The following is a 24,912-nucleotide window of genomic DNA, read 5'->3' as shown; positions in this document are numbered from 1 at the left end:
GAACATTGTGAGGTCATTGCTGACAACATCCCTCAGCACCTCCTGCATGCTTTCCTACGGGGACAAAGCCCTCCAACTCCCAAAGAGATTTCTTTGGAACTCCATGCTGTTCACAACCTCATTGCCCCAGGTCTGCCTCCCTCTGCCTGACAATGTCATTTATGTAACAACTGCCTGAGTCATCCTTTTTGCCCTGGATGCCAGGAAGCTCTGAGCCACTGTAAAGCTCAGTGCTGTGAACGGTACAAGCCTGCATGGCCATGACAGCCTATCCTTTCCATTACCTTTCCTGGTCCAGATTCCCATTTCTGTTTCTTTTATGGGACCTTGCCAGTCCTTCAGAGCCATTGTAGCAGGAGGCAGAGTACAGAGTGATAGATGCTTCTGGAAAAGGAGGTTGGGGCATAGAAGGCTTCCTGTGACATTCAGGTGGTGGGTAGAGGGGACAAGGTTTGCAAAAGCTGGGAGTGCTGGGTAGGGATGTGTGTGTCCAGGAGTGACAGAGAGGCAGCTGGAGAGACGGGCAGGGGTAGACCTGGCAGGGCCTTGAATGGCAGGCTGAGGGGCACAGAGTCTGTCCTGAGGACCATGGAATGGTTTTGGTTAGAGGAAGGATGGGGTCTGATTTTAGCTAGATCACTCTGGGATTTTGGAAGGGGCTGCTGCAGAGGCCTGGGGGAGCGGATGACTTGTGGGCTGGCTAGCGTGGTGGGGATGCAGAGAGGTGGATGGATTTAGGGAAAACTTGAGAGAATGAAGAGCTCATGGGTCAGATGGGAGCAGGAGCCCCGGGAGGATGCAGAGGTGGTTTTCAGGTGGTGGGGGGCTCCCTGATGGCTCCCCTGCCCAAATTCTCCCCAGAGTTCAGCCGGCGCTGGTGTGTCCTTGGTGACGGGGTCCTGAGCTACTTTGAGAATGAGCGGGCAGTGACCCCCAATGGAGAGATTCGGGCCAGCGAGATTGTGTGCCTGGCAGTGCCCCCTCCTGACACCCATGGGTGAGTACTCCTGGGCAAATCAGACTGTGGTTGCTATAAGGTACAATCCCCCACTGGGGAGACAGGGAAATAGACCCAGAGAAGGGGAGGACCTCCGCAGAGTCACACAGCAAACGGAGGCTGCACAAGGGCCGACTCCAGTCTCTTGAGGCCCCAGCCCAAGACTTTTCCACCACCTCTTAGGGGACCAGAATAAGGACAAGCGCCAAGGCAGTGCGGAGGGGGCAGAGGATGGCGGTTGATGGTGCGGGTTGGGGGTGGGCCCGTGCTGGATGAGGTGGGCCTGAGTCCTGGCCTGTGTATTTGCAGCTTTGAGCACACCTTTGAGGTGTACACGGAGGGAGAACGGCTGTACCTGTTTGGGCTGGAGAGTGCGGAGCAGGCTCATGAGTGGGTCAAGTGTATTGCTAAGGTGAGCCTGGGGTAGCAGGGTGGGTGTAAGGGTGTCTGACTGGGGAAGGTGGGGCCTCCTGGCCAATCCCATGTATCCCAGCTCCCCCGTCTAGAGAGCAGAAGCTAGATGCAGGGCAGCAGACATGGAGCGGGCCTGTCCCACCAAGAGCCTACTGTAATCTGCAGCCCTCTGCGGAGTTGGTCAGACCTATCCTAGCTCTGCAGAAGAAGGGCTGTGGGCCTTGCACTCCATAGGTGCTCAATAAGTGTTTAACAGTGAATGACAGTCAGAGCCATCTTAGGATGGACAGTGCGGCCTCCAGAGGGGGTGTGCTCCTCGTTCCTGGAGGCGAGCAAGCAGAGGCTGGAGGGAAGAGGCAGGGAGGCCACCGGGAGAGCTCTGCCTCGGGGACTAGAGCCAGGTGCCTGTGGGGTCCCCTGTGCTGTGAGAGCCTGTGACTTTTTATCATTCACTTCTCCGTTGATCAGTTGTCTTGTGCGCCTCCTGAGAGTCAGCCCTCGGAGACCTGGGACCCAGATGAACCAGGCTTAGTCCTAGCTCTTCAGTAGCACCCATGTGGGTGGGGGAGACAGCTCCCCTGCGGGTGTAGTTCAGGCGGCAGCAGCAGTGTAACCAGTGCCACAACAGAGGGCAAGAATGCTTTGGTGCTGTGGGGGCCCAGAGAAGGGCCCTCCAGAAGGTGTCTGGGAAGGCTTTCCAGAGGCGGGCACATCTGAGTGGGTATGAAGTGGGGCATGGTACCCAAGTTCCATCACTGGGCTTGGTTCTGCCTTGGGGAAGAGAAGAGAAGGCAGCTGGGTGGGAAGAGGGCATGTGCCTGTAAGCCAAGGAGCTGGGGCATTGGGGCAGGCAGTGCCGTTGGCTGATGCTGTCTCCCCCGGCGCCTCTCTGCCAGGCATTCGTGCCTCCCCTAGCCGAGGATCTGCTGGCCCGGGATTTTGAGCGGCTGGGACGCCTACCCTACAAAGCTGGCCTGAGCCTACAGCGGGCCCAGGAGGGCTGGTTCTCTCTCAGTGGCTCGGAGCTCCGTGCTGTCTTCCCGGAGGGGCCCTGCGAAGAGCCGCTGCAACTACGGAAACTGCAGGAGCTTTGTGCGTGGACCAGACCTGGGCCCCCAGCCTCCAGGGCACCCTATCCTGGGCTCCCAGGCCCCCAGCCCTTGCCTGGAAATCTGAACTCTGCCTGGCCTGGCCAGAGCCGCCATCCTGCCCTCTCATGTCCTTGGGGTGCATCTCAGCCACCCCATACATTGGTGGGCGGGTCTCAAGGGTGTGTGTGTGCTCACAGAGGGAGGGAGCAGGTTGGGGATCAGGAGCAAGACCTGGGCCTCACCTTGACTAACCCCTCCACAGCCATCCAGGGGGACAGTGAGAACCAGGTGCTGGTGCTGGTGGAGCGAAGGAGGTGAGCCACGGCCTCCCTGAGGGGCTCTGAGAAGGCTGGAGCAGTCTGATGGGCCTGGGGACAGGGTGGGATAGGTGTAGGCCCCTCAGTGACTGACTGTCCCTGGCCCAGGACACTGTACATACAGGGCGAGCGGCGGCTGGACTTCATGGGTTGGCTGGGGGCCATCCAGAAAGCAGCCGCCAGCATGGGGGACACGCTGTCGGAGCAGCAGCTTGGGGACTCGGATATCCCGGTGATCGTGTACCGCTGTGTGGACTACATCACGCAGTGCGGTGAGCCCTGCCCCTAGGGTGCCAGCCCCGCCCCTCCCGGAGAGCCGCCTCCCGCCCCAGAGCTGCGCGGCCCCGCCCCATGACTCTATGCCTCAGGCCCCGAACGCTTGGCCCCGCCCCTCCCTAGGCCTGACCTCCGAGGGCATCTACCGCAAGTGTGGGCAGACATCGAAGACACAGCGGCTGCTGGAGAGCCTGCGGCAGGATGCGCGCTCTGTGCACCTCAAGGAGGGCGAGCAGCACGTGGATGATGTTTCCTCGGCGCTCAAGCGCTTCCTGCGCGACCTGCCTGATGGGCTCTTCACTCGCGCCCAGCGCCTAACCTGGCTGGAGGCCTCAGGTGGGCCCTGCAGCCCGTGCCCAGCCTCCTCCTCCTCCACCCATCCCTCCGGACTCCTGCGCCCTTCCCTTGTGGCACTTGCACTAGGCTTACCCTAACCCACAGGCTCCAGTTGCCTGCCTCTGCTTCTCATTCCCATCGCCGCTCCATACAGAGCCAGGGGCCCTGGAAGACCGAGAGTTCCTTACCCTGGTTGAATGCCTGGCCTGCATTGACTTGGAGGGCACAGGGACTGCTGTCACCCACCATGAGAGGCACAGCAGCCCAGGCGGGGTGGGGGGAAGATAGTTACAGGGGGTTTCTGACTTGATTTATCTTTCCCACCCAGAGATTGAGGACGAGGAGGAGAAGGTCTCCAGGTACCGAGAGCTGCTGGTGCGGCTGCCCCCTGTCAACCGGGCCACAGTGAAGGCCCTTATCAGCCACCTGTACTGGTGAGGGACGATACCATTGTGAGATTCTGGGGGGATGGGATGAAGGTTCTTCTACCCCCACCCTGGCTGACTACCCTCCTCTGGGAGCCAGCTGGGCTTTTGCACCAAGTGCTGACTGTGATCTGCCCTAACATTGGATATTTGTAGAGCAGGGTTCCCCAGTCCCCAGGCCACAGACCAGTACAGGTTCGTGGCCTGTTAGGAACCAGGCTGCACAGCAGGAGGTGAGTGGTGGGTGAACAAGTGTTACTGCCTGAGCTCTGCCTCCTGTCAGATCAGCCGCGGCATTAGATTCTCAAAGGATCGGAACTCTATTGTGAACCGTGCATGGGAGGTGGCGCGCTCCTTATGAGAATCTAATGCCTCTGAAACCATCCCCTGCCCCCCGACCCTGTCCTTGGAAAAATTGTCTTCCATGAAACCAATCCCTTCTGCCAGAACTGTTGGGGACCACTGTTGTAGAGGATTTTTCCAACTGGGGCCAGGGTACCTTGTCTGGATCTCCCAGCTTCCCAGTCCTGCTCCTACCAGGACCCAAGATATGGCCAGAAAAACTGTTCCTACCCTGTTAAACAGTGGTCCCCTCTGACCAGACCAGTCTTGGACCTGTCAGAAATTAATAGGGTGAGATGGGAAGCTCTGGCCTGACTCCTCACTCAAAGCCCTCCTCCTCCCCTCTCCAGTGTTCAGTGCTTCTCAGACACGAACCAGATGAACGTGCACAACCTGGCAATTGTGTTTGGGCCCACGCTCTTCCAGACAGATGGGCAGGACTACAAGGCTGGCCGTGTGGTGGAAGACCTCATTAACCACTATGTGGTGGTGTTTAGTGTGCGTCCCTGGCCAGTGGGCAGTGGAGGGCAGGGGTGATCCTTGCAGATGACGGTGACCACCTGTCCCTGCCTCTCGCCCCTTCCCAGGTGGATGAGGAAGAGCTCAGGAAGCAGCGGGAGGAGATCACTGCCATTGTGAAGATGCGCGTGGCTGGCACTGCCAGTGGGACCCAGGTGAAGGCTGGAGCCTGGGTGGGGGGCTTGGACCTGCCACCTGCACCCATTTCCTAGGCCCCCAGCTGAGCCCTGTCTCCCTGCAGCATGCCGGTGACTTCATCTGCACAGTGTATCTGGAAGAGAAGAAGGCAGAGACTGAGCAGCATATCAAGGTAGGTGCTGGGACCTAGAAGCCAAGGGGCTAGAGAATCAGGCTGGGCCAGGTACAGGCTCAGATGGCCAGGGGAGCAGTGCTTCTACCCCGAGGAGAGGACCAGTTTGGGACCTGTATCTGGCTGGTGCTGGGGTCTGCTCCTAAGGACCACTCAGAAATACCCCTCTCTATCCCAGGACTCCAGAAGGGCCTGAGAAGGATGGGCTCAGGCTCTGAGTCACATAGCAAGGTTGTGGCAGAGCAGGGGCTAGGCACAGGCAGGCTAATCTCCTCCTTGGTCCTTGCAGGTCCCAGCATCCATGACTGCTGAGGAGCTCACCCTGGAGATCCTGGATCGCCGGAACGTGGGCATCAGGGAGAAGGACTATTGGACCTGCTTTGAGGTCAACGAGAGGGAGGAGGCAGGTGGGTGACGCTGGGCTTGTGCAGGGTGTGGTATGGCTTGTCTTGTCTCAGCTGTAGCCCCAGTCTGTCCTCCCCTACCCTGCACATGAGGATGGGTGGTGAAAAGGGCTTTGATGACATGTTGCTGTCACACTGATCTCTGTGATGGTGGTGATAGGGTGCTGGCAGGGATTGAGGTTATGGCTGTCATGTGGCTGATAGAAGATGTCAGTGACAGTGGTGATGGTTGAGGTGAGAAATGTATTTTATGGTAAAGGTGGTCTTGATGGCAGTGGAGGATGAGGCTGTATCTGTTCATTTGTTTTACTATATTTGTTGAGTGCCAGGCACTGGGCTAGGGAGCCACACACACAGTCCCTATCCTCGTGGGGGTTAGTCTGGTGTGGGACGGAGGCATTAGTCTAATGATCATACCAATAAATGTTCAACTACAGATGCATTAACTGCTGTGGAGGAAAGACCCTTGGCATTGCCAGGTCTTCCCTGAGCCAGGATGGGAAGGAAGAGTAGGGGTTACTTGGTGAAGAAGGCAAAAGCCCTGTGGTGGGCAGAGGCACAGCCCTTTCAAGGAGACGAGGGCAGTGAGGGGGTGGTGACATGGGTGGGGCTGGAGATCGAGGCAGAGGCAGCCATGCAGGGCCTAGCAGCAATGCAAGACCATCGGAGGGCTAGTGAATGGCAGTTTAAGAAGATTGCTACTCGCTGATGGGTGGGGAGAGGGAAATTAGAGCACACTTTGAAGGCCATGGTTTCGTCCAAGGAGAAGGCGGTAATGTGGGCTGGGGTGGCAGCAGTGGAGATAGACAGAGCAGAGAGATTCGACGTGTGGATTGGGAGAGGGAGGAGGGGTTTGTTTCTGAGTTGAGCAGCCTGGCGGGTGGTGGTGGTGTTTCCCTGATGGGGGCCACAGGGAGGGTGGGATGGGAGGCAGGGGGTGGAGATCATGGGCATGGTTTTGCACATGTTGAATTTGAGCAGCTTTGGTCACAGCCAGGTGTGTCAAGCCTGAAGCTTGGTCATGGGAAGGGTGGTCATGATGGTGGTGTTTTGTGTCGTGGCACTTGCATATGGTTGGAGTGGACAGGGGATGTGTAGGTGATATGTGCCCATCTGCCAGCCTTTGGTGGTATCGGGCCATGTGGTCCCAGTGACGGTAGGTGTGACCTCTCCCCAGAGCGCCCCCTGCACTTTGCGGAGAAGGTGCTGCCCATCCTGCACGGGCTGGGCACGGACAGCCACCTGGTGGTGAAGAAGCACCAGGCCATGGAGGCCATGCTGCTGTACCTGGGTAGGTGGTGCCTGCAGGGTGGCCAGGCTCCGGGTGGTCCTCTCTTCCAGAGCCAGGGTGGGACCTGGTGGTGCCAGGTAGGAACAGCTCAGACAGAGGGCGCCAAGTGGGTGGGCCTCTATGGAGAGGCTGGGGCAGGATGGGGCAGCTTCCTTCATCCTGGGACCCAGCCCCGGGTAGGGGTTGGTGCAGCCTGTGCCCACTCCAGTCCCACCCCCCAGCCAGCCGTGTCGGTGACACCAAGCATGGCATGATGAAGTTCCGTGAGGACCGCAGCCTCCTGGGCCTGGGCCTGCCCTCAGGTGGCTTCCACGATCGCTACTTCATCCTCAACAGCAGCTGCTTGCGGCTCTACAAGGAGGTCCGGGTAAGTGGCCCCGCTGGGTTCTGCCCCAGGGTGGGCACCTGTACACCTGAATGTGCTCAGAGATTCCCCTTGGTCTGCAAGTGGAAATATTCCCGTTACAGGCTCTCAGGATGGCACAGCAGTGGGGGAGAACTGTAGACTCTCAAGACCCCTCCTGCTGTGGCCCTGGACGGCCACTCTAGTGTGCCCTGTAGCCCCACTAAGCCCTGGCACCCGGATGCCATCACACCACTCCATGCCCATGCTCTGTCTCACTGTGCCTGTGCCTTATCACTGCATCCACAGGAACCTGTTACTTGATGACAGCCCCAAGTTGTGCATGCATGCCTTGTCATATCGTATGTCATATGCCTCCCGGGCCACCCTTCTCCCTCATTCTGTCCACATGCAGGTGTTCTCCCAACCCAGACTCCATTTGACACCCTCCACCTTCTGCACATACATGCCATACACACACCCCAACCCCACACATCACTGCACATGCTGTCCTGGCTCTAGACCTGGGACTTCTTCCATAACCCTGATCCTCTATCAAACAGAGCCAGAGGCCGTGGAGCGGGGCCCCTGAGACCGTGAGTAGCTGTGGGCTGACTGCCAGCTGCCTTACACCACCTGGGGGCCAAATGAGCTGGGTGGGAGCATGGGGAGACAGCCAGGGCTCCTGGCCATCTCCAGGCATGGATCCCTGCCCCCTTGCCCGTTGGCACTGGCCCCTATCCTGGGGCCTAAGCTCCTCCCCTTTATCCCTAATCCTGTCCCAGGGTCCTTTCCCCAATATAGGGTTCCTTATCAGTGCAATGCTCTAGAATTTTCCAAAGGACTTAGTGTAGAAGTTAAAGAGCCAGTAATGATGGCACCTAGGTTTGAATTAGAGCCCTGATCTTCATCTCCTGTCATCCCTGGAGCCACCTTATTTCCAACCCTGGACAGTGTTCCAGGACTGTCAGAATGTTCTTGCTACTGCCCTGATCCTAACATGCCGGGGTGGGACGAGAGAGGCTTGTGGGATACCCCCACCTGGGGTAGCAGTCTCTCTGAGGCTTCCTGGCTGGCTATTTCCACTCTGCACACTCCTAGGAGAGAGAGCTCATCCCTCCGCCCTTGGGGCTGCCCTGTTCCTAGGGGGATACTTCTGTCTGGAAAAGGTCCTTGCTCAGGTTCTGCTGAGAATCTGCATCTCATGATGCCCCCATGGGTCCCAGCTATGCCTTGGGGGCTACAGAGCATAGATGCCCTGCAGCAGGGGTCCCCAACTGTTGGGAACAGGGCCGTGCAACAGGAGGTGAACATCGGGCGAGTGAGCATTACTGCCTGAGCTCTGCCTCCTGTTAGGTCAGCAGCGGCGTTAGATTCTCGTAAGAGTGCGAACCCTACTGTGAACTGTGCAAGCGAGGGATCTAGGTTGTGCGCTTCTTATGAGAATCTGATGTCTGAACATCTGAGGTTTTACAGTTTTATCCCGAAACCATCCCCCCACCCATGGAAAAATTGTTGTCCACAGAACTGGTCCCTGGTACCAAAAAGACTGGGGACTGCTGCCCTGCAGGATGGGCAACAGAGACATGGTTCCAAGCCTGGTGGTCTAGCCTGAGCTCCCACAGCTACCCACCACCCCATCCCCAGTGTCTTCAGCCTCTTCCTGCCCCTTGCATTTCCTGAGGTCATCTGAACAGGCTTGGCTGCCATGGCAGGAGCAGAGCAGATAGAGCAGGACCTCATCTCCTTCTCTTTGCATTTTGTGCCTCCTCTAATGCATCCTGGGCTCCTGCTAACCCTGTGGGAAACACCGTCTCTTCTCTCCTTTGCCCTCTTCTGTGATCACATCCTCACTTCTGAGCCTATCTGCCCATCCAGTCAATCCCCCTTGGTTCTGGGATGCTATTTCCCTGGCCGCCTCCCTCTAGGAGTGTTTAGAACCCTCACTGTGGGCAGAAGGGAGGGAAGATGGCTGAGGTACCTGGAAAGGGACGTGTGGATCCCTGGGCATGGAAGGAAGGAGGCAGGAGAGCTAGAAAAAGGGATGAGATCTAATGTTCCCTAAGGAACCTGGCTTAGTGCTGGCCCTTCACATACTGAGACATGGAATCCTTACTACTGTTCTCTGAGGAAGAGGGCTGTCCCCACTTCCAGGTGAGAAAACAGGCTTTGTGTGACTTGCCCAAGGCCATCTATAAGTGTAGACTGGGACTTGCACCCAGGTTTCTTAGTGTGGAAACGCAAGCTTGTATTCCTGGAAGTCTCAGACTTGAGGACTCAGCAGGGAGGGGTGCTCAGCACAGGGTAGGTGGTGCTCTTCACACCCCAGAGACAGCCAACACCTCTGGCCTGGCAGAGGCCCTGAGCAGATGTGAGCTGGTTACCACGGGGTTATCAACTCTGGCATTTGTTGGTTTATGCGGCAGTAGGACAGAATATTTGAAATTGGGACAATCTCAGGTGATTCAGTAGGATATATGTCCACTTGTGCCTTATCCTGGGGGTCTCCTCTTGTTAAAGACCCTGAGGCACCTGGAAAAGGCACATGCTAGAAAGATCTTGGTTCCAGCAGAGATCCTTAAGCATCAAGAGTAAACGTCATTGTCTGCCCATGGCCCCATGCCTTGGAGATGCTGGAAACATGAGCCGTCTGATTAGAAATGTCCTTGGGCCAGGTGCAGTGGCTCATGCCTGTAATCCCAGCACTTTGAGAGGTCAAGGTGGGAGGATGGCTTGAGTCCAGGAGTTTGAGACCAGCCTGGGCAACATGGTGAAACCCTGTCTCTATAAAAATTAGCCGGATGTGATGGTGCATGCTTGTAGTCCCAGCTACTCAGGAGGCTGAAGTGGGAGGATGGCTTGATCCCATGAGTTGGGGTTGCAGTGAGCTGAGATTGCACCACTACACTCCAGCTTGGGGGATTCATTCTCAAAAGGAGATTGCATTGACTGACATCCTTCCCTCCCAAGACCCACTTCTGCAGACTTTCTGACTCAGCCACCCTTACATCACACACATGTCATGCACATCAGACCCCAAGGAATCGGAGGCCTGAGGGTTGTGTTTTCATTCTTGGAGCCACAGCCTGGTTTGAATGTCTTGATTCCTGCAGTTGCCTCTGCGCCTGACTGGGCCTGTCCCGTCCACCCTCAACTCACTTGACTGCTTGCTTCTAGTTCTGTTCCCCTCCCACCCACAGCCTGACTTCTTCCAAACCCACAGCCTGTTTTCCATCCCCTCAGCCGATTCCTCCTGTACCTGGAGTCCAGTTTCCCCCACATCCTTCCTCATACCCAGAACCTTGTGTTTTCCATGCCTGCAGCCGAATCTCTTTTATAGCCTCTGTCTCAGTCTTTCCATTTCTGCCATCAGCTGTCTTCCAGTTTGCAGGCCGATTGCTCTAGTGCTCCCAGCCTTGCTTCTTCTGTGTGTGCCTACAGGTTTCTTCCTTATATTCCCCCACATCTTGTTTCTTCCATGTCCGAAGCCTGATTTCCTCCCGCCTGCCTAATTTCCTCCCTGTCTGCAGCCCTGATTGTTCCATGCCTGCAGCCCAGTTGGTTCCAGGCCCTCCTGGGCACATGGCCATCATCAGGTTAGGTGCTGTCTGTAGAAGACATGAGGCTTTCCAATCAGCAGGTATCGGGGTAAAAGCAGAGTGAAAAGTCCTTACTAAGGCCCTCCTAAGCCACACCCCCTGTGAGAGCACAGAGGTCTTCTCCAGTCCCTAAGCAGCCCATCCTTTTGTGATATCACAGGAAGTCCACCAGTTCCCAAAACTTCCCCTTCCCCTGGCTGTCCTTTCTCTGGCCCCTGCTGAGGAGCCATGCCTGGTGGTGGCTGGGAGCAATGGTGGGGAACAGGGGGGAGGTGGCTCAGTCTTTGACCCCCAGTTTCGGTTGTAAGTGAATCCCCCTCCCCTGCCATTCACTCTGGTGCCCCTGTGGACTCCAGGGGTGCCTGGTAGGGGTAGGGCTTCAAGCAAGTGGCTCCTAGAGCAGGAGGAAGCCTCATTAGCTTGACCTCCAACCAGCCTCTTCCTTGGGGGTCATTGCCCCCATCCCTCTGCCTCCGAGCCAGCCTGCTCCTTCCAAGCCCAGACCCATATGCAGAGGCGGGGGCCAGAGGTGAACATTTTGGCAATCTGGTGTCCCTCCCCAGTACATTGGTCTCTCGCTTCCTGACCTAGACCATTGGGAAGTTCTTCCTGTGGTCTGTTGAACAGCTGTTCTGCTTCAGCTTGAGTCATTAGCCTCCTTGTGGAACCAAAGAGCTAGTAACTGCTGGTCCCTCAAGCCTTCTGTTCACACGGTCAACCCTGGAGCCTCCATGGGGCAGAGAGGGCTGAGAAATGAATAATCTGAGATGAACATAGACACAGGCAGCCAACCGAGGCTCTCTGATCACACCCGCTCGTTCCAGTTTGGTGCTGGGGGAGGATGTACAGTTCTCCCTCCACATACAATCTGATTCAGGGTGATACTTCAAGTCCTCCAGTTTGCAGGGCATCAGGGTGGTGCTGGGATTCGCTGTTACAGATGTCCCAGTTGGGACGGCTGCCTCGGAGACTGAGGGTTGACTGTCTGATACTGCTGCAGGGAGACAGGCCTTGGGGGCCTAGGGCTGGGAGGTTGGTTGGGCTAGATTGTGAACAGGGAGGGCTTTATCAGGAAGGCTTCTTGGAGGAGGCGCCCTGTGCTGGGATGCAAAGAGGGCTGGGGAGTTGGAAGAGGGAGCTGCCCAGTCGGGAGAGCGGCCCCAGTGCCCTTTCTGCAGACTAAAGTGCCCTCTTCTCCTTGCCCTACCTCAGAGTCACCGGCCTGAGAAGGAGTGGCCTATTAAGAGTCTCAAAGTCTACCTGGGAGTGAAGAAGAAACTCAGGCCACCCACCTGGTAAGCTGGGACTGGGCAGATAGGCCTGCTACTGGGGCTTATGGGGGCTCAGAACTGATGGGGGAGGCACAGCTGGGGTTTTTAATTTGACAGAGATAGGTGCAGGGGCTCTGATGGTGTGGTCTCCAGACCAGCAGCATCACCTGGACACACCTTCAACACAAATTCTCTGCCAAGTGCAGTGGCTCATATCTGTAATCTCAGTACTTGGGGAAGCCAAGTCAGGTGGATTGCTTGAGCCCAGGAGTTCGAAACCAGCCTGGGCAACATGGCGAGACCTTGTCTCTACAAAAAAATACAAAAATTAACTGGGTTTGGTGGCGCGCTACTCAGGAGGCTGAGGCGGGAGGATCGCTTGAGTCCCGAAGTTTGGGCTGCAGTGATCCGTAGTCACGACACTGCATTCCAGCCTGGGCGACAGAGTGAGAGCCTATCTCAAAAAAAAAACAACAACAAAAAAACACAAATTCTCAGGTGTCACCCCATTCCTACTGAATCACAGATTCTGAGGGTAGGGCTGGGGCTTAGGGGTGTCAAGGGCCTGGGAGGCTGGTTGGGGCTGAGACAGGAAGAGGCCAGGATGTGCCACTCTTGTGAGAAGGCTCTGAACTCTGGCTCTGGCTCTGGCTGTGGCTTCTGGGCTCTGTCCTGGGAACTGGGGTGTTGAGCCTCTATGGCCTGTCAAACACCCAACTCTCTCCCTTCTTCCTCTGTAGCTGGGGCTTCACAGTGGTGCATGAGACAGAGAAACATGAGAAGCAGCAGTGGTGAGTGAGCGCCTCATCCTGAGATCCCAGGCTGAGGAAAGATGGTGGCACGTCCCCCTTCATTGTGTCCCTCATCACTGCCCAGATCTGTGACCACTAGCAGACCCTGGGCTGGGAAGGCAGACACGGTGTTCCCTGCTCAGTCAGGCCTTTGGCATCATGTGGGTCCGCGTCCAACCCTGCAGGTACCTCTGCTGTGACACACAGATGGAGCTCCGGGAGTGGTTCGCTACCTTTCTGTTTGTGCAGGTACCAGGTGCAGAGTGTGGGGTGTGGGGTGGGTCCCTGGAGGCTTCCATTATGGAGAATGGGGACATTGGCTTCTGTGCTATTCAACCCACCCCTTGCTTCAAGGAGATTTTGAGTTGCTTTTAATTCATTTGCTAGTTTATTCAATAAACCCTTCCTAGCACCTACTGTTAGTCCAGCCCCAAGCCAGGGATGCTAGGGACAGACAGGACACAGACCCTGCCCTTGGGGCACCCCTCATGTGGACAGGAAAACAGACTCAGAAGTGGCCAGTTATAGCCCAGTGTGATCAGTGCTGTGGTGGCAGTGAAGAGCCCAGGGGATCTGAGTCTTAGGAAATGTGGGAGAATTCACCAAGCATAGAGGAGGGGGATGACTTCTAGGCAGAGGGAACGGTTTAGGCAAAGGTCCAGAGATATGCAAGAGAAGCACAGATTGTTACAGTGGAATGTGAGGGGAGAAGCCAGGAGTGCTGGAAGTCAGCACAGGAAAGGGAGTGAGAAGCAGAATCTCAGAAGAGGCTTGTAGGTCACGCCAGGGAAACTGACCTCGACACAGAGGTCAGTGGGGAACCACTGGCGGGGGTGGGGGTGGCATTTAGGCAGAGTGTGGTGCAGGCTTGAGTCTTCGAGGGCTCACTCTGGGTGCAGCGTCGGGCAGTGGGACCGAGGGTAGAACCCAGAGGTGAGCAGGCCAGTGAGGCAGTGGCTGTGGTAGCCCAGGCAGGGACATGGTGGGGATGACTCCTGAGCCAGAGCAGGGCCAGAGGCTGGGTTAGACTTAAAACAGATGAATTAAGACACAGAGTTTTTAAAGTGAGAGCTCATATGTGTTTAGGGAAAGGGAGACAAAACAACCAGGGTGCTAGGCTGAGTTCTTTCTTGGAGCTGTGTTCTTTTAGCCCTGAGCTTCCTGGTAAGCAAAGCCTAAAGGGAAACGGTGGATTTTGTAGTTCCCGATTCCTAAGATGGGGTGCAGACGTGTTCCTCTAAGAGAAATGTTTTCTTGGTTCTTGGAGGGGTTTGTGGATCTGGAGATTGGAGTTGTTGAGTAACAGAACTGGCCGTGTTTTGCCAGAGATGCAGTCATGTTCTCCCCACAGCTGCTTCTCATATCGGCGGGGATCAAAGCTGAGGGTGTCATCTCAGACCACAGCTGGAGGCATTTCTGGGAAGGGTGGGCAGATCTGAGGCTGAGTGTCTGGGTGAACTGAAGCTGAGCCCAGCCCCTTCCTCTCTGCTCCCCAGCATGACGGCCTGGTGTGGCCCTCAGAGCCCTCACGCGTGTCCCGGGCAGTGCCTGAGGTCCGGCTGGGTAGTGTGTCACTGATCCCCCTTCGAGGTAGTGAAAATGAAATGCGCCGGAGTGTGGCTGCCTTCACCGCGGACCCTCTGTCTGTGAGTGGCTCTCCATGCCTTTGGGCAGGGGGCTGGGGGCCTGGCTGGGTGCCTGCCTTCTACTCCACAGTAGATGATTGCCCTGATTGCCCTCCCCGATTGCCCTCCGGCCCCCTCCCTCCAGCCTTGGTGGGGGCCCTCATAGGCCTCTTTGGTTCACACCATTCAAAGGAGCCCCTTCTGCCTGGCCCTGGAAGCTGGGAGTCCCCTCTGCCTGGCCCTGGGAGCTGGGAGCCTGGCTGATTGGAGTGCTCCCCGGCTGGCAGTGGAGAGTGGCTGCAGCAGCTGCAGCAGCTTCAGCGGGGCGCCAGCCCCTCTGGGCCTTCACAAAATACCTGTGGGTCTCTTGCCTTCCTGCAGCTTCTGCGCAACGTCTGAGCACAGGAGCCCATCCTTGGCTCTAGGATTCCGCCGCTGGAAGCCTTCTGTTCAGACACCCCTTATGCTCCAAGGCCTGATGTGAGCCAGCGGGGGGTGCATGGGAAACTGCACCCCACAACCCACATCCTCCATCCTGACTGCAGCATGGGGTTCCCCGGCAGGGGTGGGAGGCAGCAGGGGTCAGCCTGGGCAGGAACCTCTCCCAACTCTGTCCAGGTGTTCAGACCTCTTGGCCCAACCTGCTCACCCCACCGGGTTCACTGTCCTTGTGGGGCTGGAGAGATGGGCATAAGTCAGGAACTTGGGAGGACCACCACCCTTTCAGAGGCGTGAGGCCCTGGGGCCCTGCCGGAAGGGAGCCCCCTGCTCCTCCCAACAAACTCCAGAACAGCAGAAAGCGGGTGCTGTAGAGGAGCACTCAGCTCACGGGGAGGGAGCTCTTGGCTGAGCTTCTACAGGGCTGAGAGCTGCGCTTTGGGGACTTCAGCCTTCCTTCCAGTCTGGGCTGAGTGGGGGGTCCAGACTACCTGATGCCCCTTCCCCAATTTGGGGACTTTTTGATAATATAAATATATCTGTATATTTTACCCTATGGTGCTGAGGCCTGTGATTGGCTAAGGGGATTGGGCGTCCTGGGGTAGGAGGGGACAGGAGGTCGGGAAGCCCAGGGGTGAGTGCCTAGTGCCTGAAGCTGAGAACCTAGGCCTTGCTTTCTCCAGGCCCTGAGCTATTCAGACGACCCCCTTCCCCAAGCAGAGCCCTGGCTTGACTCCATGCCTTCCCCATTGTACTATCCTGCAGCCAGGCTGGGAATGCCGGTCCTTTCCTGGCCAGCACTGACCCTGGCTGGACACAAGCCCCTGTCCTGCTGCAGTCCGAGTCTGAGTCCCAGCTGGGGCCTGGGTGTGGTGTGTCAGTGACTCAGGCCTGGCAGCCCTGCAGCAGCCCCCTGCTGGAGACACAAGGTCAGAGCCACAGGAGCCTGAGGAAATTGAGAAGAAGCACCTTTGGGTCACCTGTGGCCCCAGTGCCTACCCCTCCAGAGGTGGGGCCTGCCATGCACCAGGGGGCTGCCCTCACTGGGCACTGCCTGGCCATCTCCACTAAGAAGATGAGGCCCTGGCCTGCAGAGGAAATAATGAGTTGCTCAGAGATGGGTTTGGGACTCCCTGGGGAGGTGCCAGACACCACATTCCCGCCTCTGCCTAGAGCCTCATTACCACCCGCTCTTCGGGGGCTCAGTGGGCGGACAGGCTGACCTCCATCCTTAGCCTCAGCCAGTGGGGCTGGGCAGAGTGGGTGGGGATGGGCCATGTGACCTCCGACTCAGGCATCCAGCTCAGTGGGGAGCCTGGGTCCAGCGGAAGACTTGGGGAGCTGGACTCCAGGTTCCCTCTCGCTGTCTCAGGAAGGGGAGGTATATGGCAGGAGACTGGAACCGGTTCCCTGAGTCCTACTGACCTATTTCACAGGCTGGGGCTAAGCCCCTTGAGTCTCCCACCTCCTGTGGGTCGCTCTGGCCAGATCCACAGGTCGAATGTCTGACCCTTCTGCCTCCAGCCAGGACAGGTTGGACCCCCTTATCCAAGTGCTGAGGGGCTGGAATCCGCTCCTGGATCTGACCTTGCACTGCCCAGCCAGCCCTGAGGCCCACCTGAGTGGGTGAGACTGGAGGCGCCCCCTGCTCTGCTAAGGCCACTGCCCCAGCTCAGCGTGCTGGCTGCAGTCCTGCACTAGGCCACAAGGCGGCAGCCATGGACCACTCATCATTGCTGGAATCAAAGCAGGGTCTGGAGGATGCCTGAGTGGTGGTCCTGGCCCAGACCTTTCTCTGCTGGGGTGTGAAGCGGGACCCAGTTCTGCCTTTGGCCTGCAGGCTGGTGACATTCTGGAAGGCAGCACCATACAGGAATGTGCATTGGAGTCCTGGGCTCTGGGAACCAGGAAGAGGAGGGAACAGCCTTCTACCAAGTACCTGCTGTGAATCGGCCCCTGTGCCCCCTGCACTGTCTGCTCTTGGCAAGGGGGAGCTAGGCCCAGAGAAGGGAGGCAACTTTCCCAAGGTCACACCATGCTCGTGAAGCAGGCCTGAGGTCCATTTCCCCTGCCCTACTTTGGTGGGGTCTCCCTCTTTGACTCCCCTCCTGATTCCAACCCTTTTCTCCTCTTAGAAATGGCCTGAGGCAGGGGGTCTGAACTGTCAGGAGTTAGTGATGGCTTAAAGTGATTTCCCTCTGGTAAGGGGTAGGGGTGACATCCAAACAGGAGCCTCAGGGCCTCAGCCGGAATGAAATATGCCTGTGACAACAGTGTTGGATGGGTTAGGGGCAGGAGGCTCTGCTGGTCCTTGTCGCAAGGATTCCTAAAAATGGGGCCTGTTGGGACCCTGGATGGTTTGCTCATTCACATATTATTTGAAGTTGGGTTGCCATGGATGAGTTGAAGACCCCAGACCTGGACCTGCAGAGGGGCCAGGAGCAGCTCTTGGAAAGGGAGGGGCTTCCTGGACAAGGAAGTGCTCCTGAGCCAGCTTTGAAGACCGGAGGCCTTGCCAGGTGTGGTTGGGGTAGAGGTTGAAATACTGAAATATTGGGGGAGGAGGACAGGGCTTCAAGGACCAACCCAAATCCAGGCCTAGCCCCTGGGGAATACGGGGAGCCCTGGGAAAGAAGGCCGAGGCACGTCAGAGCCTGGATGGTGAGGGCACTGCAGGTGAAGGGGAGGCTGGGGGGCAGAGGGGAGAGGGGCAGGGAGGTGGGGTAGGATGTCTGCCTCTCTCCTGCCTCCTTCCAGCACAACCTTCCTACCCTGCAGAGTTCTGAGGAGTCCTGGGGCTTCTGGAGAAGGAAATCAGTGGGACAGGGAAGGGCAAGAGCTGGGGCTTCTTTCCTGGCCTCATGCTCTGGTGGCCTCCAAGCCACCTGCCCACAGCCCGCTGTCTTGGAAAGCACGCGTGTGGGTGCCAGTGCTCCTGTTTACAAGCTGTGTGACTTTGCCTGAGTTACTTAGGTCTCTGATCCTCAATGTTGTCATCTGTACTTTGCGGGTATTAATAGTAGCTACCTCCTAGTGGTTTGGGCAATTAAATGAGCTAGTAAGTGTGAAGTGCCTAGCATTGCCCCTTGCTAATCCCCTTCCCACTGCACTGTCTGCAGTTTCTGAGAAGGTATCATGGCATATTCTAGTCCCAATATATTTGCACTCAACAAGCACTTATTGAACACCAACTGTATGCAGAGCGTTACTGAACACTGAGGGGGAGCAGATGAGTGAGTGGTGTGGAGGAAGGTAGAGACCTCCTGGTAGGGGATATTATCAGGAAAGACTGGAGGAGGTGAGTCTGAAAGGAGAGGCAGTTCTCCACAGGTGGAGGAGAGGAAGTGGTCTGAGCACAAGACAAGGGGATGTGACCCTGCTGTGGTCACTACCTGCTGTGGCTGGGACACAGTGCCCTACAGCACCCTAGGGCCTATCCCCCTTGCGCCTGCCTCTGAGATATGACCACATCCCAGTCCAGTGGGCTCCTTGGGATCATCCCCCATCAGAATAAGGAACAGTTCCTATTCTCTTAGCCAGCTCTGTGACCTAAGTGACCCTGACCCTGCTCTGGGGACTGTCTCTCACATAAGTGCAGTGGCCTGAACCTCCCAGCCCTTCCTCCACTACGACACCTCCTTCAGGAAGCTCTTCTGGGTTGCTCTCCCATCCCACTGTGCCTACTTAGGGTATGCGTATGTGCCCAGGTCACCACACCTAGTCAGGGACTCACCTAGGGAAGAGCAGTCGGGGACAGTTTCCCTGGTCAGCCAGGGTTGGCCCAGCCCTAGCATGTCCCTTCTCCTACACCACTTCCAGCCTGTGGAAATTTCCATACTTTCTCTGCCCTGGTTACAGCTCCTACTGCTGTATTTATCACCCTGGAGACACAGTGGCACAGGCGCACACATGCCACACACACTCAGGCCTGCACACACGTGCCTGCACACCTCAGCCTGCTTCTCCAGATCTGCGAGTGCATGCTGCGCGCACACACACACACTCGGCACGTGGATGAGCACACACACACGGCACGTGGATGAACACCCACCCACACACAGCTCTCTAGGAAAATTGCTCCCCTTCCCTCCTGCTCCTCCTCCACCCTGTCCTCCCACCACCACCCACTTCCAAATGCTGAGACCAAAGAGATGGGCTGGACGGTGCCTCTCACCACTTGTCAGCCTGGGACGCCCTCCTCCCTTTGTGACTAGCATGCCCTCCTCCCCCTGCCCGTCTGCCTCCCCAGCTCTCTCTGCCTCCCTGTCGCCCTGCCACCTCCCTGCGTTCCTGTGTATCTGCCCTCCACACAAGTCACTCTGAGGCCTCTCTTTGTTACTCTTGACTCTGAAGTGGAAACTGCTCCTCCCAGCTCTCCTGAGAGGCTCAGGATGGGGACCTGACCTCATAGGGCTGATGGAGGCATAGGGACAAGTGAAAGGGACCCCAGGTCCCGAATCTCCTCAGCTCCTGTCACCTTCAGTCCCTCCTATTGGGTTAGGGGAGGGCTGTGTGCCTGGCACCATGGAGACCAGTGTCATGGCAACACAGTTCGGGTGGGCACAGCTTCCTCCTCCTGGGGTGTGGGGTCCATAAGAGGAGGTGCCGAGGAGGTGGGCCTTGTGCTGGTGCCCACCATGGCTGCCTCCAGCTCACCATTCCCAGGACAGCCCACCCCCATCCCCCCAGCCAACTTTGCTTGCCACTGCAGCTTCCAGTGCCACAAGTCACTGATCCCATTTGGGAAATCCTCTCTCAAACACCAGCTCCAGAGCTGGGCGCCAGAGAGGGCAGGGGCTTGCCCAGGGTCACACAGCAAGTCTGGCCAAGCTCCTGACTCTCAGACCTGTTTTCTCCTCCGGTCTCCCACCTTCCACCCAGAAAGGGGACTGGGGGCAGAGGGGTCAGTCCAACCTCAGTTCCCACCACGATCTTCAGCCAGCCCTTAGAGTTGGCAGTGGGAGTGAAGATGCAAGTGATAGTGCCGAGAAACCATCATGGGGCGCCCACCACCTGCTGTGCCAAGGCTTTGCATGTGTCATCCCATTTTATTCCAAGACCCAGGAGGAAGATGACTGGTAAGTGGAGTAGCTGGGACAGGAACACAGGTCCCTCTCAGATGGGGCAGGTGAGTCAAGGCTCGTGTGTATTGCTGTCTCCATCAGGCGCTCTTTTAAAAGAATGGCAAAGCTTTTAATCCCATCTTTATTACCGGTAAGAGTGTAGGGGGAGGATCTGGGGCATAGCCTGGGTCTGGCCTTAGGGTTTCTAGAAACCAGGGGATATTTTTCTAAGAAGATAGAGAATAGAGCTTTCCTAGTGTGGTTAGACCTAGGGAAGACCTTTCTTGCAGTGCAGCAATGCAGACCGACTTCCAATCCCTAGGTCAAGCTGGAGTCTAGGGACAGAGGGGAGGAGACCCCTGCCTCCTGTGCCCAGCCTCAACTTGTCTCCTGACCTTCATGGAGTCACGTTGCAGCTGCCTCCCTCCTGGCTTATGTAATAATTCAAATATAGCAGCTGCCTTTATCCCACTGAGTCACACCCCCTGCATCCCCCCTCAGGTGCGGGGAGTTATGGGGGAAGAGGTGGTTCAGGGCTGAGTGGGAGGTTCGGGGCCTCCTGGCAAGGAAGATCCCTAGTGTGCTGGATTGGAGGGTGGTGGTGGTGAGGGGGCTGGTGCTGAGGCCCCAAGAAGAGCAGAGCCTTCGCCAGAATATGAAGCCACAGGGGCCACTTCTGCCCTGACCCATCCCTGCTGGAATTCCACATTCCTGGGGGCCCTCCCCAGAGTCACAAGCTATATGTACAGCCTTCTCTTGTGGGCTGCTGTCTCAGTTGGAGGAGGAAGGAGAGGTGGAAGAGTATGAAGAGGGGGAAGTAGTCCGGTGGGGCAATGGCCACCGTCTTTGGTCCTAGGCTCAGCCTCGCCCTTCACTCACTGGGTTACCTGGGCACCCCTCTGACCTCAGTTTTCCCATCTGCACAGTGAAGGATTAGATTAACTGGCTCTAGCGTCTCATTCTCTCTGATTTATAACCCTGGAGATGATCTCAACCTGAGGCTGAAGGCACTTCCGAGTGTCTGGCCCAGCCGCGTTCCAGGCTGACTTCCCTCCCTCTTTTCTCTGCCATCCCTCCTAGACCAATGCAGCCACCCCCACCCACAAGACAAAAGAGGCAGGAGAGGGCCCTGGACTCAGCTGGGGCTGGGCGGCTTCTCCCTTCCCTGAACTCGCCATCTGTTCCAGCCCCCCAGCCCCCTGCCTAGCAGCCATGGGTAGGTCACTGCCCTCACCTGGGGTCACCCCTTCCTCCCCGGAGAGCTCTGACAGATATCCTGGAACCTGAAGTGGATCCTTCATGCCCCATCCTGAATCCCAAAGCCACCTTCCTGAGGTGTTGAAGAAGCTGCTCCACCTTGGAACTACTATAGGGGCTGTGGTGGCCTTTCATTCCTTTATCAGCAAAAGCTTTTGTCACTTGTGTGGTGGGGGACATGCTTAGTGTGAGAATGCAGAGACCCATGCCAGGCCCTACCCAAGGACATGGTGCTCCTTCAGCCATTGTCATCAGAGCCACAGAGGGGAGCTTCCTGGCAGAGGAGGAGTGGGGAGAAGCTGTGGAATGGCTCCTTGAGCTCCCCACTCCACCCCTTCCCCATGCCTGGGCTCCCATTGCAAAGACCCAGATGTGGGCTTATCCTGTCCCCCAGCCAGAGGGAGTCACCCAGGGGTGTTCAGGCCAACCCTTTGTGAAATCCATGTTCCACCAGTTACCAGCCTTTCTCCGGAGAGCTGAGGGCTGTCTCACACTGGGTAGTCTCAGCCTGCCCTGGGGTTGGGGGGGTGCTCACAGAGCAGTAAGCGTCACTGCCTGCATCCCCACACACCTGCATTATCTTGTCTGCAAGACACGTGTGCCCCTGAGCTGAGCTCTGTTGTGCACCACCCGATTTCCGTCGGCCTCCTTTCTGACTTTTCTCCATCAACATTTCCTGCTTGGGCCTGTTGCGGGCTACCCAAAGGCTGTGGACTGGGGCCGAGGTACATAGGACTTTGGCTTGTCTTTTGAGCTAACAGGATCCTGTAGAAGAAATGAGATGAGCCTGAGAGGGGGTCGGGGGGTGAGACATTAGGGAAGGGAGAGGCCACCAAGGGTCTCTAGCCCAGAATCCAATGCCCCTTCCTGCCTACCTGTCCTTGTGGGTGGGAGGCAGGGTGTGTGCTGACTGGCCCAGCAATGGTGGGCTAGGATTTGGGATAGGCAGAGAAAAGGAAGAGGAGGGGGAAGTCGGCCTGGGAGGAGAAACACTGTACAAAGTCGAGGAGGAGAGAACCAGAGTGTGCTTAGGGACCAGACCTGGCCCCACCTGGAGCAGAGGATGGTGAGGTCAGTCAGGGCTGGATCACAAGGGACCTCAAATGCCAGGCTGAGGAGCTTGGCCTTTATCCTGAGGGCACTGGGGAGCCCTGCAAAGGTTTTGAGAGGGAATTCCATTACCAGATAGATGTCTTTGGAAGCCGCCTCTAGGTGCAAGGAGGAGGTGGAGTAGAGAGGTTGACCTGGGGTAAGGGTTGGAGCATGACCAGGGGAGGGGGAAGGAAGCAGGGGGTGGGGATGGAGGGAGTGGATGGATCTAAGAGAATCTACTGTCCTTTGGAACAAACGATACAGGAAGTGTAGGAGAGGGATGGGGCAAGGCGACTTTGAAGTGTCCAGCTCAGAGATTGGAAGTTTGCTGATGCCTTTGGGAGGCCAAGGCAGGCAGATCACGAGGTCAGGAGTTGAAGACCAGCCTGGCCAATATGGTGAAACCCCGTCTCTACTAAAAATACAAAAATTAGCCGGGCGTGGTGCGGGTGCCTGTAGTCCCAGCTACTTAGGAGGCTGAGGCAGGAGAATTGCTTGAACCCGGGAGGCAGAGGTTGCAGTGAGCCCAGATCGCACCACTGCACTCCCCACTCCACCCCTTCCCCATGCCTGGGTGACAGAGCGAGACTCCGTCTCAAAAACAAAACAAAAACCCAAAAAACAAAAAACTAAGAAGTTTGCTGATGCCTTTAATAGTAACAAAAGGTGTATTGGATGTTCAATATTTGAGGGACCTACGGGTTGTTCCCAGAGGAGATGTCCAAGAGACAGCCTGGACACCTGGAGCTCCAGGGAGAGGGATGGGCAGCAGGGGACACCCGGAGTTGTTGGTATGCTGGGAGAAGGCTGCATGCTCCGTGGGAGTAGGGTGGAGAATGAGGAGAGACAGGGCCGCCGTCCTGCAAGGAGCATCCATATTGAGGGGGCGAAGATAGGGTGCACCAGTGAGGGAGACAGAGGAGGGGCCGTCTGGAAGGTGGGAGGGAAACAGCCGCGCAGGACGGGGCGGGGGCGGGCGCTGAGAAGAAGCCGCCTTCTTCGGCAAAGAGGTAGCTGAAGCCTGTGGAGCCTGCAGTCCTCTCAAGGCTATGGGGGCAGCGCGGAGGCCGGATTCCAGAACTGAATCTTCCCATCGCTTTGGGCAGCCACCCTACCTCCCAGGAGCATCCTTCCTGCCATCCCACCTCCAGTTCCCCAGCTAACAAAAAACGGTGTTTCTTGACTCCCGGCAGGGCGGCGGGGCGGGCAGGTCTTGTGAACACGGCTCGCAGGGTTCAGCACCCTGGAGAGAGGCCTGTGGCCGGGGCGGGGCCTGCGGCGGGGGTAGGGGCGCGCAGTCAGAGCAGTCGGGCCTTTGGCTCCGTCTGGGAGCGGTCTTGCAGGCAGGCAATTGATGGAGGAGGGAAAAACAATCTTGGATTTTCTCCAGCTCTCTCCCCTTTATGCACCTCCCCCATCCCGGCACTGGCCTACAGGAGCCCCTATCCCAGCATTTGGGGCTATTACTCTCCTGACGACTTCAGGAAATGAGATGGGAGGAGAGGGGCAACTATTTACTGGGAACTTTTCAGACATTCCCAAAACCTCACAACCTTTTGAGCTTGGAATTCGTGACCCCATATTTCAGATGAGGAAACTAAATTGAAGTTCAGGAAGGTGAAATACCTTGCCTAGGCACTTGGCAGAGCTGGGATTTGAATTCCACCTGCCGGGCTCTAAGTCCTGAGTGCCCATTAGCCCTTCTGAGTCCTGAATCTTGCAGTTTGTTCCTGCAGACTCTCCACTTCTGGGTGGCTGTGGAGTCTGGTGTGGCAGTGGGATGGGGAGGAGACCTTCCCTTCCACCTGCTTGCTTGAGTGTATTCCCAGGAGATTTCTGAAGATGAGGCCACCACCATTGTTTCTGAAGTGGGAGGGCAGAAAGGAGGCTGAGGGCCAGGTGAGACCTCGTCACACCTGCACCCATGCATGCCCAGGAGGAACCCTCCTTTGAACTCTTCTGACTCAGCTTCTTGCTGCCAGGTTCCTCCGACCAGTGAGCAGGTTCCCAGGACATGAAGGGGAGCTGTGAGGGAGCAGGACGCCATGGTCCAGGGCTGCAGCTTCCTGAGCCCAGAGAATGCCTTCCTAGCTGTCAGGAATGGAGCAGCGAGGCCCCAGTGATAGGTGAGGTGGAGAAGCAAGACATGAGTTCTGGGCTGGCTCAGCTGCTTTACAACCAGCCTGGGCCTCGTTCCCTTTGAGAAAATGGTTTGCCCAGAGTTCAGAGATCTAAAATTCTATGATGCCTTCTGGGGCCACAGTGGGAAGCAAAGACTCCTCATATTTTCTTTCCTGACACTTCCCAGGCCACAAGACAACTGCTTTCTGCAGCACCCAGCCTGGGCAGGCCATCTACACAAGCTCAGTCATTTCTGACCTTGCCCCCTCCACCGTGCACCCCCATGTTCTTCAACATGGGTCAGGTTTCTATTCAGCCTCAGGGACTTCTCTGCTTGAAGCCTGTTGTGTGGCGGGGAGGTATTCTCCCCACAGCTCAGAGAGATGGGGTTGCTGTGGAGGGTTTGCTGTAGCTCCTCTACCCTGGAATATACCCTCTTCTGCCTTAAAAGACCCAGCTTGGACCCTCTCTTCCAGAAATGCTTGCTAACCGCCCCCCCACCACCCAAACTAGGTCAGGGGTCCCTCTGGGCTTCACAGACCCTGTGCTTCTTTCTGTCACAGCCTGCAAGTCTCCCCTCCCCACTCCCC

The 24,912-nt window shown here is 57.0% G+C and overlaps 1 protein-coding gene across 5 annotated transcripts in view, besides 4 other annotated features; it reads left to right on the top strand.

The window, feature by feature from the left end:
• Positions 1–15,345, top strand: part of ARAP1 (ArfGAP with RhoGAP domain, ankyrin repeat and PH domain 1) — a 67,340-nt gene extending 51,995 nt beyond the window's left edge. For 2 of the 5 annotated variants that reach the window (NM_001040118.3, NM_015242.5), the window contains 19 exons: positions 862–997; positions 1,307–1,409; positions 2,308–2,503; positions 2,765–2,816; positions 2,928–3,091; positions 3,219–3,431; positions 3,760–3,865; positions 4,549–4,696; positions 4,786–4,872; positions 4,959–5,027; positions 5,317–5,434; positions 6,609–6,722; positions 6,944–7,089; positions 7,629–7,661; positions 11,877–11,959; positions 12,676–12,726; positions 12,912–12,975; positions 14,223–14,372; positions 14,733–15,345. In NM_001040118.3, coding sequence (NP_001035207.1) covers positions 862–997; positions 1,307–1,409; positions 2,308–2,503; positions 2,765–2,816; positions 2,928–3,091; positions 3,219–3,431; positions 3,760–3,865; positions 4,549–4,696; positions 4,786–4,872; positions 4,959–5,027; positions 5,317–5,434; positions 6,609–6,722; positions 6,944–7,089; positions 7,629–7,661; positions 11,877–11,959; positions 12,676–12,726; positions 12,912–12,975; positions 14,223–14,372; positions 14,733–14,750 — 2,051 coding nt within the window. In that variant the 3' untranslated portion in view covers positions 14,751–15,345. The remainder of the gene's footprint in view (positions 1–861; positions 998–1,306; positions 1,410–2,307; positions 2,504–2,764; positions 2,817–2,927; positions 3,092–3,218; positions 3,432–3,759; positions 3,866–4,548; positions 4,697–4,785; positions 4,873–4,958; positions 5,028–5,316; positions 5,435–6,608; positions 6,723–6,943; positions 7,090–7,628; positions 7,662–11,876; positions 11,960–12,675; positions 12,727–12,911; positions 12,976–14,222; positions 14,373–14,732) is intronic. The other 3 variants (NM_001135190.2, NM_001369489.1, NR_161388.1) reach the window with 2 other exon arrangements.
• Positions 15,121–15,680: an enhancer, noted in NCBI's record as "H3K4me1 hESC enhancer chr11:72395779-72396338 (GRCh37/hg19 assembly coordinates)". NCBI's record gives its function as "activates a minimal SCP1, AML or CMV promoter by ChIP-STARR-seq in naive H9 embryonic stem cells {active_cell/tissue: H9 hESC(naive)}" and the evidence as "EXISTENCE:reporter gene assay evidence [ECO:0000049][PMID:30033119]".
• Positions 19,149–19,974: an enhancer, noted in NCBI's record as "H3K4me1 hESC enhancer chr11:72391485-72392310 (GRCh37/hg19 assembly coordinates)". NCBI's record gives its function as "activates a minimal SCP1, AML or CMV promoter by ChIP-STARR-seq in naive H9 embryonic stem cells {active_cell/tissue: H9 hESC(naive)}" and the evidence as "EXISTENCE:reporter gene assay evidence [ECO:0000049][PMID:30033119]".
• Positions 23,358–23,407: a silencer, noted in NCBI's record as "silent region_3723". NCBI's record gives its function as "represses an Ori minimal core promoter by ATAC-STARR-seq in GM12878 lymphoblastoid cells {active_cell/tissue: GM12878}" and the evidence as "EXISTENCE:reporter gene assay evidence [ECO:0000049][PMID:35858748]".
• Positions 24,268–24,768: an enhancer, noted in NCBI's record as "H3K4me1 hESC enhancer chr11:72386690-72387190 (GRCh37/hg19 assembly coordinates)". NCBI's record gives its function as "activates a minimal SCP1, AML or CMV promoter by ChIP-STARR-seq in primed H9 embryonic stem cells {active_cell/tissue: H9 hESC(primed)}" and the evidence as "EXISTENCE:reporter gene assay evidence [ECO:0000049][PMID:30033119]".

Source organism: Homo sapiens, chromosome 11, assembly GCF_000001405.40.
Source record: "Homo sapiens chromosome 11, GRCh38.p14 Primary Assembly".
Lineage (NCBI taxonomy): Eukaryota > Metazoa > Chordata > Mammalia > Primates > Hominidae > Homo > Homo sapiens.
The sequence above is the reverse complement of the archived record's forward strand: the minus strand, read 5'-3'. Positions and strand labels throughout refer to the sequence as shown.